The sequence below is a fragment of the Homo sapiens genome, chromosome 10, assembly GCF_000001405.40.
Source record: "Homo sapiens chromosome 10, GRCh38.p14 Primary Assembly".
NCBI lineage: Eukaryota > Metazoa > Chordata > Mammalia > Primates > Hominidae > Homo > Homo sapiens.
Window position 1 is genome coordinate 118,954,267 of NC_000010.11, and position 14,085 is coordinate 118,968,351.

The following is a 14,085-nucleotide window of genomic DNA, read 5'->3' on the forward strand; positions in this document are numbered from 1 at the left end:
AAGAACCGGGGAGGAGAGAGAGAATGTTGGCTGCTCCCTTCCTAGGGAGGACAAAACTCATCCACATCCCAGCATTCCAAATAGAGTATGGACAGAGAAAAACACTTCACAGAGAAACCTGGCAGGCGCCCCTGAACCAGGTGAGCCCCTGGTTAACATCACTAGTGATAAGGCATGTTGATATCTTGTACCCCTGTGATACGATGCACTGAAGACATTTCCCCTCTGTGAGCTTCTTCCCCAAATCCAATCCTCAGTCTACATATCAGAAAACATCAGCCGGGCACAGTGGCTCACGCCTGTAATCCTAGCACTTTGGGAGGCCGAGGCAGGCAGATCATGAGATCAAGAGATCGAGACCATCCTGGACAACATGGTGAAACCCCATCTCTACTAAAAATACAAAAATCAGCTGGGTGTGGTGGCACGCACCTGTAGTCCCAACTACTCAGGAGGCTGAGGCAGGAGAATCGCTTGAACCCGGGAGGCAGAGGTTGCAGTGAGCCGAGATCACACCACTGCACTCCAGCCTGGCGACAACGCCATCTCAAAAAAAAAAAAAGAAAAAGAAAACATTAGGTCAACTCAAACTGAGAAACATTCTATTCAACACCTGACTGCTCCTCTTCAGAAGTATCCAGGTAATGAAAGGCAAGGAAAGATGGAGAAACTATCACAGATCAGACGAAACTAAGAAACAAGGGCCAGATGTTGTAGCTCACACCTGTAGTCCCAACACGTTGGGAGGCTGAGATGGAAGAATTGCTTGAGGCCAGGATGTTGAGGCTGCAGTGAGCGAAGATGACACCTCTGCACTCCCAGCATCTCAAAAAAAAAAAAAAAAAAAAAGAAAGGAAGGAAAGAAGCTAAGGAGCCATGACAACTAAAAGCAATGTGGGATCCTAGATTAGCAGATTAGCTCCTGGAACAGAAATGGACATTAGTGGTGAAAACTAGAGAAATCTGCATCAAGTCTGTAGTCAGTTAATAGTAATGATATACCGATGATCATTTCTGAGTTTTGATGAATGCAGCATGCTATGTAAGATGGTAACATGAGACTGGGTGGGGGTGGATAGGAACTCTCTGCATAATCTTTGAAACTCTTGGGGAAATCTAAAATTATTTCAAAATTAAAAGTTGTAAAACAAACCCCAAAAACGAAGCAAATGCTTTTTTCCCCCTTAATTTTTAAAAACGCCTTGCCTTCTCATAACAGAGCATCAGGGCAGGCATCTGACAGCCTGGGCTCCACAAGAAAGCCCTCTGCACCTTTCCCTTCCCTCTGCCTGTGGCTTGTGCCTTCCTATCTCGATTGTCCTATGCTCCTTTGGCACTTGTCAGTCCAACCTGCCCATCCTCATCAGCTGCTTTCACCTCCCATGCCCTCTTCCACAGGCGACAAAGCCCATCTTTCAGGAAGAGACAATGCCCCCTTCTCAGACTCCAGGGTTCAGTTCTTAGGAGCTGATCCCATCCCCCATGGTGGGCAGGTCCAGGACCTCACTTGGCCAGTCAGCCCACTACCTCTGCAGCCTGGCTTTTGGGATTGGTTCAGAGATGGGTCCTTTACTCAGGACTTTGAGAGTGAGGACCGGAACTTGTGCTAAAATTACTGGAAAAGAGGCATAGTCTTTCTGTTGGGGTTGCTAAGCAGGTGGAAAATAAACCTGGGACTGGGGTAGGGGGCACCAGGTGAAGAACACCCCCTCTGTCTGAGAGTGAAGCCAGCCACAAGGAAAGCAGAGCTGGGTGACGGAAAGAGATGCAATGACTTTGCTTGAGCCCCTAGGATCCAGCTGTGCCTCAAGCTGGCACCCTCATCAGAACTTTTCTGTTGCATAAACTGGTATTTCCCTTTTTGGTTTAAACCAAAACTCCAGCTGAGTTTCTGTTGCTCACAACCTCCAATGTTAAGCCTCCCCTGGTGGCAAACTGTGAGTCTCTCCTCCTTCACCAGCTCCCACTCCTTTCTTCCCCAGGCCCTGGGACCAACTCTGCCTGAAGCAGGAGGGAAGAACAGGCTCCAGCCAGCCTCCTGGGGTCTGACCCCAAGATAAGGCTGTAAGTGCCAGGAGTTTATTTGGGAGCTACTCCCAGGAAGCATAGCTGAGGCAAAGAGGCAGGAAGGCTGTGTTCCAGAGCAGGTTATTGCCTGGCAAGAGGGGCCCAAGCCTGCTGGGGACCTCCAGGAGATGGCACAGACCACTCATCAGTTACCCTCCTGAAGGGAAGAAACCTGGGGGTAAGGGCATGTGGTGGGGGTGGGGGGTTATACACCAAATTTCATCCATCCTGGGTTGAGGGCTGCTCCTGGAGTCATTGTTCATCTGTTAATGTCTCAGAGCACATGCCCAACAGAGCAGCAGGTGCTTCCAAGAAAAGGACTCACCTGCGTACAATGGAAAGGTGAGTGCACAGGTGAGATGGCCAGGGACCAACAGCTGCTGCGACATCTGTGGACCGTATCAAGGACCCTGGGCTCCTGGTTTCCTGCTTGGTTCTCTAGCCTCTGGGGAGTCCCTCTGGTTCCCCTCCCCAATTCCCAGGCCTGTGCTCTGCCTTCCCATCAACACCCTGGATCTGCTGTGACAGTCACTTGGGACCATGCCCTGTGGACATGGGCACACATTGTTCATATGGACTCCCTGTTCCAGCAGCTCAGGCCCCACCCCCAGCTGGAAACTCCAGTTCCAGGGTGGCCCCTCCAGGTGTCAGTGGAAAAGGCATCTGACAGCAGCATGGTGACTTCCTCTGAAGCCCGACTGCTCATACCCACCTGAAGCCGCACAGCACAGATCATAAAAACCAGGATGGTGCAGGCACACAGACCCTGGGGTTAAACCCCAACTCACCCCTGGCTTGCTGGGCCATTTAACCTGGGAGAATGATAGACCCCAGTGCTCAGGACTGCAGTAAGGTTCCATGAGATGGTGTCTGTGACTCAGCCAGCATGCAGTAGACACTCACTGGACACAGTGGCATCGCTGCCAGATCTTGGAAAGTAGAGAAAGCCCCTGGGATGGTTACAGTAACTCCCAACCCAGAGCCACCTGCTACGGATGGGTTTTTGTTATGGTTCAAATTATGTCTCCCAAAAAGATACATCTTAACCTCCACTACCTTGAAATATGATCTTATTTGAAAATAAGGACGTTGCAGATGAAATGAGGTTAAGACGAGGTCACACTGGAGTAGGGTGGGCCCCTAATCCAATATGACTGGTGTCTTTATAAGAAGAGAAGACACACAAAGACAGACACACAGAGACAAGACAGCCCGGTGAAGACAGAGGCAGAGATTGTGTGATGCCGCCACACACCAAGGAACACTCAGGACTGCCCACAGCCGCCAGAAGCTGGAAGAGCAGGAAGGATCCTCCCCTGCAGGGTTCAGAGGGGGCACGGCCCTGCAGACACCTTGATTTTGGACTTGTAGCCCTTGGAACTGTGAGACAATCAAGTTCTGCTGTTTTAAGCCACCCAGTTTGGAGTACTTGGTTGATATTAGCTCTAGGACACTAAGACAGATTTTCACTGATCTCTTTCCAGGTTTCCAAAGGTAGATTTAACCATTTGAATGGAAACCATGCGCCAGCCACTTTTGTGGGGGGTTTCCCAAAGTGTGTTCTGGAACTGCAGGATGTCGACGGTTGTTGATGGTTGACCTGGAAAAATATGTGAAAAGGGGTTCTGTGGTCGACACGATTTGGATGTGTGTCCAAGCCCAAATCTCATGTCAAATTATAATCCCCAGTGTTGGAGGTGGGGCCAGGTGGGAGGTGACTGGATCACAGGAGCGGATTTCTCATGAATGGTTTAGCGCCATCCCGTCAGTGCAGGTCTCATGATGGTGAGTGCTTACAAGGTCTGATTGTTCAAAGGGGTGCATGACCTCCCCTCTCTCTCTCTTGCTCGTGCTCCCGCCACGTAAGACGCCTGCTCCCATTTTGTCTTTCGCCATGAGTAAAAGCTCCCTGAGGCCCTCCCAGAAGTAGATGCCACCACACTTCCTATACATGCCTGCAGAATCATGAGCCAATTAAGCCTCTTTTCTTGGCGGGGCATGGTGGCTCACGCTTGATATCCCAGCACTTTAGGAGGCTGAGGCGGGTGGATCACCTGAGGTCAGGAGTTCAAGACCAGCCTGGCCAACATGGCAAAACATCGTCTCTACTAAAAATACTAAAATTAGCCGGGCATGGTGGTGCACACCTGTAATCCCAGCTACTCGAGAGGTTGAGGCGCAAGAATCGCTTAAACCCAGGAGGCGGAGGTTGCAGTTAGCTGAGATCACACCACTACACTCCAGCCTGAGAGACACGGTGAGACTCCTTCTAAAAAAAAAAAACAAAAAACTCTTTTCTTATAAATGACCTAGTCTCAGGTATGTATTTGTAGCAATTCGAGAACAGACTAATACAGTGGTCAAGTAATCAGGGAACAGTTGAACAGTTTCTTGCACGACTTCTCAGGGCCTTTAACATGCTAGTGTGTCTTGTGAATACCCATGAGCGGATACAGGAATGGTTGTCCTACTTCTATTTTTTTGTTTTTTTAGTTTTGATTTTTTATTTTGTCCTAAATTTATGTAACCACAGAAGCCTCTTCTCAGAGCCTCTGGTGGGATTTGCCTCTGTAGAGTGGAGCTGGGAAAATCCTGCAAGAGCGAGTCCAGTGGTAACAGAGGAAAAGGCCCATGTTCAGGGAGTTTGGAGCTCCCCATATGGAAGATGCATTTGCCTCCCTGTGGGATAACCTCAGGGCCACTTTAGGTTCATGGGGCTGCAAGCTGGTGCTCTACAGATCTGCAGCAAGAGTGTGACTTCCAGTCCTGTGTTGCACTGAATTCCAGGGACCGCGTGTGTCCCCGTTCCCCTCCCCAGCCACCCCCCACCACCCCCCATACACATAGTTGGCATTTAACCTTGCCAAATATCTTTGGTATGGCAATAGAATGATCTGGCTCCTAAAGAAAGAAGTCAGAGTTCAAAATGCTGAGTCATTCACCACGAGAGCAGTGCCTGAGGAGAAGTAGGTCAGCCTGGGCCGAGCCTCCCCACCCCTCCTTGGCATCAAAAGCACCCAGCACAGTAAAGGCAGCTCACACATGGCCGGGGCTGTTCTACAGGCTCTATCTGTATCCACTCTTTAAAGCCTCATGACAATGCTACAAGGGGTAACTGTGAGTCTCCTGAAATTCCAGATAGGAAACTGAGGCACAAGGAAGGGAGGAGGGATGGACCCCCAGCAACCCGGCCACATCCCTAACCAGAAACAAAGGATGGATCATCCTAGACACTGCAGCAAAAGACAAGAGTTAACCACTCATTCCCCAAACACAGGAGCAGACCCCACCCTTGAGAAGCTTGCACTGATGGAGACAGACAAGCAGCACCCCCACGGCAACAGCAGTGGGCAACAACCTGCTAGGAGGAGGCCCGATGCCATGGGAGTACCAGTAGGGGTACCCCGCCTGGACTTTGGAGGTGGTGGTACTCAGGGAGAGCTTCCTGGAGGAGGCAGTCTCTAAGCCAGGTTCTGAGAACAAGTGGGAGTTAGCCAGGTGAAGTAACTTTAACATGCTAGTGTGCCTTGTGAATACCCATGAGAGGATACAGGAGTGGTTGTTTCAGCCCAAGGATGCACCTGTGCAGAAACTTAGAAGCCAGGAGACAGCAAGGGCCTTTTGGGGAACTTGGGGAGGAACAGAGTAAGAAGCCGAAGCCAGCTGCCATCAAGGAAGCTCTCTGACCCACAGCCACGCTGTAAGTTGGAAAGTCTGGATTCAAATCCTGACTCCATTTATTCCTAGCTGAGTGACCGTGGGCTGTTAAACAACCTTTCTGGGCCTCAGCTTCCATATCTGGAAAATGCAGAAAGGAACAGTACCTTCCACACAGGGCTGTTGTGTGGGTGAAAGGATCTGCTGTGTATCAAGCACTTGGCCTAGGCATAAGGAAGCACTAAGTGGTGTCCACATCGTCATTGGGTAGGAGTCAGCCCAAGCCCTCCAGCAATTCAGCAAGAGTTACACAAAGTTACATTCAGTCCTGCAGAGCAGGTCCAGCTAAGTACAAAGGCAGGCTTGGGGCTTCCAGGAAAGGGGAGAAGCAGCCGGTGAGACCACAGGAACATCCGCCCTCCCCGCCCTGGCCCCAGGCCTCCGGGTTGCCTCCTCCTTCCCAAGGTAAGGCCCTGCCAAGAAATTCCACTGAAATTCCAAGAAAGTTCACTTTGAGTTTCACCCAGTCCCTAAATGGAAACACGCATGCGCACGTGCACACACACATGTGCACACGCACACACAGCATGAGGGGAAACCTAGAGCATCTTTATTTTATCCCCACCATGAAGCGGACTGGTTTGGAAAAGTACCCTGCCTGCCTCTTCATGGGGCTGGGTGTGGTCCTGAGCAAGATGGCAGGAGGTGGACGTGAAACCCATCTCTTCCCCCGCCGTGGGGACATCATTTCTCATTGGGAGTTGGCAGAAGGAGCTGTGATAAGGGGCGTCCTCTCTCCAAGCCTTGGGGATCTGGAAGGGATGCAGGTGATTCCACCCATAAAAAGCATCCTGGCAGATCCCCAAGCTGGGCCACCTGCATCTGCAGCATTTCTCATGAGGCCTCCTCATGTAGATTCATGGAAAACTTGGTAGGGTACTTTTCAGGTGGACATTTGACTATCTTAAGCAGGTGCACCCCTTTAAAATGGGATCTGGAGCCGATTACCCCCACCCTGAGTGAGAAGTGCACCTGATGGGGGAACTTATCACCCGTGGCCTCAGATTGTTAAGCGACAGCTCCAGCCCCTTGATCTTGGTGTGCCCTCGGCTCTCCAGACTGGTAGCTTTCAGGTCAGCAGCAGCCATGGGGAGGAAGTGTGCCTTATTCTGGTTTAGAAAGCACTCTGGTGCTTCAGCTTCTGAGCACCTATCCTTTAAAATGCCCCCTGGTTACAATAAATTGTACAGAAGAAATGTTGTACTTTGCAAAAGAACTTTTTAATCTCATTTAAAAAAATAAAATGACTCGCTGACTCATGAATGCCACCAACCCTCTTAGTAACACCAGGATTTGGAATTGTGCCTCACCTGTCAGCAGAGGAGAGGGGATGCTGAGGAGAAAGGTGAGAAATGTCCAGTGAGGTTCCTGAAGCCTGGACCCCCAAGCACCCCCTCGCTCTGACCTCTGACCCCGCAACACAGGCTGTTCCTGTCCCATTCCACGCTGAAAGAGCTCACTGAACACCTGCCTCATTCACCGCCCTACACCTTGCCTCTGCTTGGCCTTGACAGACACTAAGACAAGTCCCCTCCCATCTGCCTCACGGCCCCCACCTGACCCCCTGCCCCTCCTCTAATCCATCACTGAGATTCATTCCTACAAAGTGCAAGGACACTCACCACCCCAATGCTTGCCTCACACTGGCATTCAAGGGCATCTGCTCCAGGGGCCCAACAGGATCACTGGCGAATGGAAGGTGACAGACAGGGAGCCACACCCGGTTCTCAGGTCCTGTAGGGTTCTCAGGAGCCTGTGAATGGAGGGCAGGGGAGTAGTTCCAAGAAACTGAAAAAGCCCACTGTACAAAAACAAAAAGAGTACTTACTGGAAGTTTCCATTTATATAAAAGTCTAGAAAATGCAAATTAATCTAACAGTTGCCTGGGGTGGGAGGTGGGACAGTAGTGAGCACAGGGGCATGGGGAACCTCTTGGGGGACTGATCTGTTCATTATCTTGACAGCAGTGACAGTTGCATGGTTGTGTACATGTGCCAAAACTCAAATTACACACTTTATGTGCAGTTTATTGAAGTCTATCACACCCCAGTAAAGCTGTTTAAAAACTGATTATGTAGAAGGCAGGTGTGTCTGGAGCTCACAGAAGGGAGGGGATAGTCAGAGATGAGGCCGGAGGAACAGGAGGGACCAGCTCAGTGTGCTTTAGAGACCCCTGGGACTAGGCTTATGAGCAGCGTTGCAGTTTTCTACGATGCAGTAAGAAAGGGACCACAAACCATGTGGCTTAAGTGACAGAAATTTATTGTCTCCATTCAGGAGATGAGAAATCCAAAACCAGAGTGTCATAGTGTCAGAGGCGTTTGAACCAGAGTAACTCCATCTTGAATAGGAGCTGGGTAAAATATGGCTGAGACCTGCTGGGCTGCATTCCCAGGAGGTTAGGCATTCTTAGTCACAGAATGAAATAGAAGGTCAGCACAAGATACAGGTCATAAAGACCTTGCTGATAAAACAGTTTGCATTAAAGAAGCCGGCCAAAACCCACCAAAACCTAGATGGCCACCAGAGGATGACCTCTGGTCGTTCTTGCTGTACTCCCACCAGGGCCATGACAGTTTACGAATGCCATGGCAACGTTAGAAAGTTACCGTATATGCTCTAAAAATGGGAGGCCTGAATCATCTACCCCTTGTTTAGCATATCATCAAGAAATAACCATAAAAATAGGCAACCAGCAGCCCTTGAGGCTGCTGTCTATGGAGTAGCCATTCTTTTAATCCTTTACTTTCCTAATAAACTTACTCTCACATTACAGACTACTTGCCCTGAATTCTTCTTGCGATAGATCCTACAACCCTCTCTTGGGATCTGGATCGGGACCCCTTTCCTGTAACAATAGGATTGGCTCCTTCTGAAGGCTGTGGGGAGAATTCCTTCCAAGCTTCCCTCCTAGCATCTGCGGGGGGCTGGCAATGTGTGGCATTCACCCCATTTCTGCCTTCGTCTTCGTGTGGCCTTCTCCCTGTGTGTGTCTCTGTCCAGATTTCCCCTTTTTATGAGGTTCACCCTAATGCAGAATGGCCTCATCTTAATTACATCTGCAATGATCCTGTTTTCAAATAAAGTCACATTCTGAGGTACTGGGGATTAGGAACAAAACATGTGAATTTGGGGTGGGGTAGAGGAGCACAGTTCAACCTCTAACAGGCCATTTGTGGAATAAAAAAAATAACTGCATAAGAATCGGGGGAGAGTAGGGGAGAGGCAAGTGAGGAGCCCAAGTCCGAATTCTGCTCCGAAACTCCCCCTGGGAGCCTGGGCAGCCCCTTAACTTCTCCGCGCTGCTGATTTTTCTTCTGTGAAATGGGGACTGTGATCTTTGTTTCACTGTTGCCAAGACAGTCCATGCACCCATGAAAAGGGTCCATGTCGGTGTGCTTAGGGCAGGTCCTCTCTGCTCCCACCGAACCCCCAGAAGCTCTCGGTTCCCCCACAGCTTCTGAGCTTGTTCCCCAGGTCAGCCTCTTGCTCATCTGCCACCCCGCAGACACTGGGCACCCCGGGGGAAGAAGGTAAGGTCTCTACCTGTCTCACCTGTCTGTGTGAAGAGACCACCAAACAGGCTTTTTGCGAGCAACAAGGCTGTTTATTTCACCTGGGTGCGGGGGGGCTGAGTCCGAAAAAGGAGTCAGCAAAGGGTGGTGGGATTATCATTAGTTCTTATAGGTTTTGGGATAGGCGGTGGAGTTAGGAGCAATGTTTTTCGGGCAGAGGGTGGCTCTCACAAAGTACATTCTCAAGGGTGGGGAGAATTACAAAGAACCCTCTTAAGGGTGGGGGAGATTACAAAGTACATTGATCAGTTAGGGTGGGGCAGAAACAAATCACAATGGTGGAATGTCATCAGTTAAGGCTATTTTCACTTCTTTTGTAGATCTTCAGTTGCTTCAGGCCATCTGGATGTATACATGCTGGTCACAGGGGATATGATGGCTTAGCTTGGGCTCAGAGGCCTGACACTACCCACTTGTTCCCAATTAACAGGGGAGACCTACCCACAGGCACTGTCACACAAGCATGACAAGTGTGCTGGGGGTGGTGGTTGCCAGAGGAAGGGCAGTTGCCTCTGCCTGGTGCAATCACAGAGGGTTCCAGAGAGGAGGTGCCCTTCTAGCACCTGAGCTGAGACCCCAGAGGAAAACTATCATGGTGCCCTGCGCAAACCCCAAGCCTCAGATTGGGTGGGGTGGTAGGCAGAAGAATGCTCCCGGCAAAACTATCCCCAGCCTAATCCCTAGAACCCATGAAAAGGTGTCCTTACATGATCACAGGACTTGCAGATGTGAAGAAAGTTAAGGCTTTGAAATGAGGAGATTATGTGGCATTATCCAGATGGGCCCAACCTAACCCATGAGTCCTTAGAAGTGGAGGAGGTGGCAGAGTGGGTTAGAAATGCAATACAAGAAGGGTGACAGAGCCCCAAAGCTGGCTTTGAAGATGGAGGAAAGGGCCATGAGCCAAGGAATGCAGGCAGCCTCTAGAAGTTGGAAAAGGCAAGGAAGTGGGTTCTCCCCTTGATATGGACTGGCTATGTCCCCATCCAAATCTCATCTTGAATTGTAGCTCCCATAATCCCCGCATGTCGTGGGAAGGACCCAGTGGGAGGTAATTGAATCATGGGGGTGGGCCTTTCCCATGCTGTTCTCATGGTAGTGAATAAGTCTCACAAGATCTGATGGTTTTATAAATGGGAGTTCCCCTGTACAAGTTCTCTTGCCTGTTGCCATGTAAGACATCCCTTTGCTCTTCCTTTGCCTTCCACCATAATTGTGAGGCCTCCCCAGCCATATGGAACTGCGAGTCCATTAAACCTCTTTTTCTTTATAAATTACCCAGTCTCGGGTATGTCTTTATAAGCAGCATGAGAATAGACTAATATACCCCTAGAGCCTTCAGAAGGAGTCAGACCTGCCAGCACCTTGGTTTTAGGCCAGTGAGACTTGTGTCAAACTTCTGACCCTCCAGAACTGTAAGATAATACAGTGTGGGGTTCTAAGCCACTAAGTTTGTGGTAATATGTATAGCAGCAACAGAAAGCTAGCTCAGGTGAGGTATACACTCTGGTCCCCCACAAGGGGACAGGCTCAGGCAGGGGTCTGAGGAAGTGACACAGCACAAGGCTCCCCCAGGGAGCGGGGAGCCCAGCCTGCCATGCTGCAGAATTTCTGGGGAATAACAAGGTCATAAGGGTTGAGGCACAGGGAAGCCGTGGAAACAGCTGGGGAGCCTCAGGTACTCTGAGCTGCAGTTACTGGTCTGGGACTGGGATGTCAGCAAAGGGATCCCAGGGTGACAGTGATGCTGGGCTATCTGAGCCAGGAGGGACTCATGTCATTACCAAATCCTGGCATTGCTGATGAAAAACTTGAAGGAGAAAGGAGACACCTCCAGGGTCCCAGCAGAGGCCAGAGCCAGGAAGAGAACCAAAGTCTTCTAGAGTCCAGATTGGAAATTAGGGATCTGCACGGGAATGCTGCAGCCCTCACGGGAGGCTCCCCACTTTACAGCCTGACTCTCTGGACACAGTTCTCTGCCTAAGCACAGATCTCAGACCACAAAAGAACTGTGTCCTGCACTCGTACCTTCTAAAGACATGGCTCAGAGACTCCTGCCAGGCACCCCACAATGGGCCACCCCCATCCCAACGAAGCCTCCTGCAGCTGTCCAGAGCTGTCGTCCCAGGGCAAAGGTCACCAGCTAAGCTGTTACTCATTCCCAGGTCGGGCCGGAGAGGCTTATTCCGTACAAGGATTCATTTCCACCCTTCAGCCAGGAGGGAGTCAGCAGGCCAGGTGGGGACATGAGGATCAGGCCATCTGGACAGGCAGAGCTCCGAGGTGAGCTGTGTGCTGCAAAGGGAGGGAATGCACACATCTCAGAGCCCGGCCATCCAGCCTCCTAAAGGCATCTTTCAGGTCTCCGAAAATTTACTGAACATTCCAGATGCATCCACTGGCAGCATCCTTCCCACTCCGTAGACTGACGGGGCCAATTCACCCTCGGTTCTTGGCATTTTGTGTTCAGTTGGAAAAGACATTAAAACAAGGGTCAGATGTGGGCCATTATGTTACTCAATGGGGGAAGGTGGGTTTTGCACAAATGTCAAAGGACTTATAAATGCAGCATTGGATGGGGCCAAAACAAAAAGAGCCAAGGTGCCAGGGGAGGGAGGCTGGGAATGAGTCACGTTAGTGATTTCATAGGAAGACATTGGGGCAAGCGAAGCGTCACTCGAGGCAGCTTCTCCTTTCTCCTCCAAGCACCAGGATATTTTATTGCAATTGCGTGAAGGTCCATTAGCAACGGTCCTGGAAAATGGCTCTTTCAAGGTCAGGGAAACATGAGCAACGGCACGGACAGAGCAATTATTCCAAATGCAGGGCTGTTTGGTTGCCTTAGAATTAGAGAAAGGAAGGCAGCCAGTTGAAAATAAAGCCACACACTGAGTTCTGGGCCTGGCACATTTTCTGATTAAACAGGAGGTCATATGGTTGTAATATCAGGCTGCTGCCCTCTGTACCAGACATTGCCATGGGAAAATGCAGGCCAGACCCCCAGGATCCCCACTGCCTAGATATTCTCTGCGGAGTCCCCCATGTCCCTACCCAGCTCTGTGCCCCAGGGCTGACATGTCTCCAGGCCTCAGTTCCTGGTTGGGCTCGTCCAGTGGAAGGTGCCAGCCAGAGGCCGGAGTGTAGGAGGAGAGGGTGTCTGGGGAATCTGCTCCCTCCCGGATGGGCTGCAGATTGGCAGGGGCTGCTTCCTCGCCTTCCGGCCAGCAGCTCAAAATAGGAGATACTCTGCTGCAGCTCCAGGCTCCGATACCAGTTCCGATACCAGCTCTGATGTCCCTGCACCTTCTGGCCAGGGTGATAGGAGCTTCACTCCCTGTGCTAGCGATGAGGTCCTGCCCCATCCTAGGTGGGTTGTCTTGTGTCCCCACCTCCCCTTTGCAAACAGTTCCCAGTCTCTCCTCAGAGACCCTACTTGGGTGTCCCATTTCCTGCCAGAGCCTAATCTTTCCTTCTTCGAGAAATTCTCCCTGGACTACTCCAGCCTCCTTCTTGAGCTGCCATCAACACTTAAGAGTCTCTGTCCCTCAATTTAGAACAGAAACATCCTCGGCTTCGAGTGGTTTGCAATTGTTCCAAGGATGCCTATCTAGTTTGTCAAGCCAGTTTCTGCCCTTCGGGGTAGGGACCAGGATATACATCCCCTTCCCATCTGCACAGTGCCTCCCAAGCAGGTTGAGCTGGTCACACCCTCCACAGAAGTCCCCCTTTTCCCGGCCAAGTTCGTGGAACCTGAGGGCAGTCGCTAAATGCTAGGTGGAGCCAAGGGTGGGCCTGGGAAAGAGGAACCCGGCCTGAGTGCCCAGAGGTAAGGCTGAGGGACAGCATCCCCCTCAAGCCCCCTCCCCACCACCCACCCCCATCTCTCCCCCTTCTGCCAACAGCCTGACCTGAAGCCAGAGGCATGGGTTATCCTCAGGCCTCCTCTGGCTTCCTGGAAAGCAAACACCCTCAGTCAGCAAACACCTACTGAAAGGCTACCCAGGCCACCCTGAAGTCCGGTGCTGGGGTGGCCCTGCTGACCAGGGGCTTCTGACCTAGACCTGACAAGCTTCTCCTGACCCAGCCACCACCTCTTGGTGGCTGGGTCAGGATCAGCCTGACCTGGCTCAAATCCTATCACCCCCTGCACTTGTGGATTCTCAGACAAGGGTCTCAGTTTGAGTTCCCCAAAAGTCAAGCCTGGCACAAGGATGTGGGTGCAGGTGGCTTCTCTGGGACATGATCCCAGGAAGCACAGCTGGGAAAGTGGGGCAACCATTAGCAGGGAGCCTTGAGCGTCCTCCACCGTGGCTGGCTCACCCCACAGGGAACCCTTTGGAGAAAGCCTGGAGCGCCCCCGAGCTGTCCCACTGAGGTGGGACTGTGGCTTTTATCTACCACCTCCTGCCCTCAGTGGTTGGGGATTTAGGGGATGCACCAGGGTGTCAACTCCCTGGCACTTGGTACATCAGACCAGGCCACTGCTGAGGCCAGCACACTCCTTCAGCCAGAGGACACCCTCAGAAGAGAGACAGGAAGCTGCCAGTGTGGGCAGGGACTGTTTGTGGGTGACCTCAGGGGTGGCCCAGGGAGCTCACAGACAGCTGGCCACCTCCCCTCTCTGAGCCGCACTGTATGCTGGGGTGAGGAGGCTGTTGTGAGCACCGAGCTGCACGCGTTGCCAGGTGCACCCTCAGTGCTGTGTCCATGCTCAGCCGTACTCTGG

At 51.4% G+C, this 14,085-nt stretch overlaps 1 long non-coding RNA gene across 3 annotated transcripts in view, besides 2 other annotated features; it reads right to left on the reverse strand.

The window, feature by feature from the left end:
* Window positions 1-14,085, reverse strand: part of LINC03036 (long intergenic non-protein coding RNA 3036) — a 245,028-nt gene that overhangs the window by 169,723 nt on the left and 61,220 nt on the right. The window contains exon 5 of one of the 3 annotated variants that reach the window (NR_186542.1): window positions 9,376-11,654. The exons of the other annotated variants lie outside the window; for them this stretch is intronic. This is a non-coding gene — a long non-coding RNA (long intergenic non-protein coding RNA 3036). Of the gene's footprint in view, window positions 1-9,375; window positions 11,655-14,085 lie in introns of those variants that run through there. 3 annotated transcript variants of the gene reach the window in all.
* Window positions 4,679-5,409: an enhancer, noted in NCBI's record as "H3K27ac-H3K4me1 hESC enhancer chr10:120718457-120719187 (GRCh37/hg19 assembly coordinates)". NCBI's record gives its function as "activates a minimal SCP1, AML or CMV promoter by ChIP-STARR-seq in naive H9 embryonic stem cells {active_cell/tissue: H9 hESC(naive)}" and the evidence as "EXISTENCE:reporter gene assay evidence [ECO:0000049][PMID:30033119]".
* Window positions 5,410-6,139: an enhancer, noted in NCBI's record as "H3K27ac-H3K4me1 hESC enhancer chr10:120719188-120719917 (GRCh37/hg19 assembly coordinates)". NCBI's record gives its function as "activates a minimal SCP1, AML or CMV promoter by ChIP-STARR-seq in naive H9 embryonic stem cells {active_cell/tissue: H9 hESC(naive)}" and the evidence as "EXISTENCE:reporter gene assay evidence [ECO:0000049][PMID:30033119]".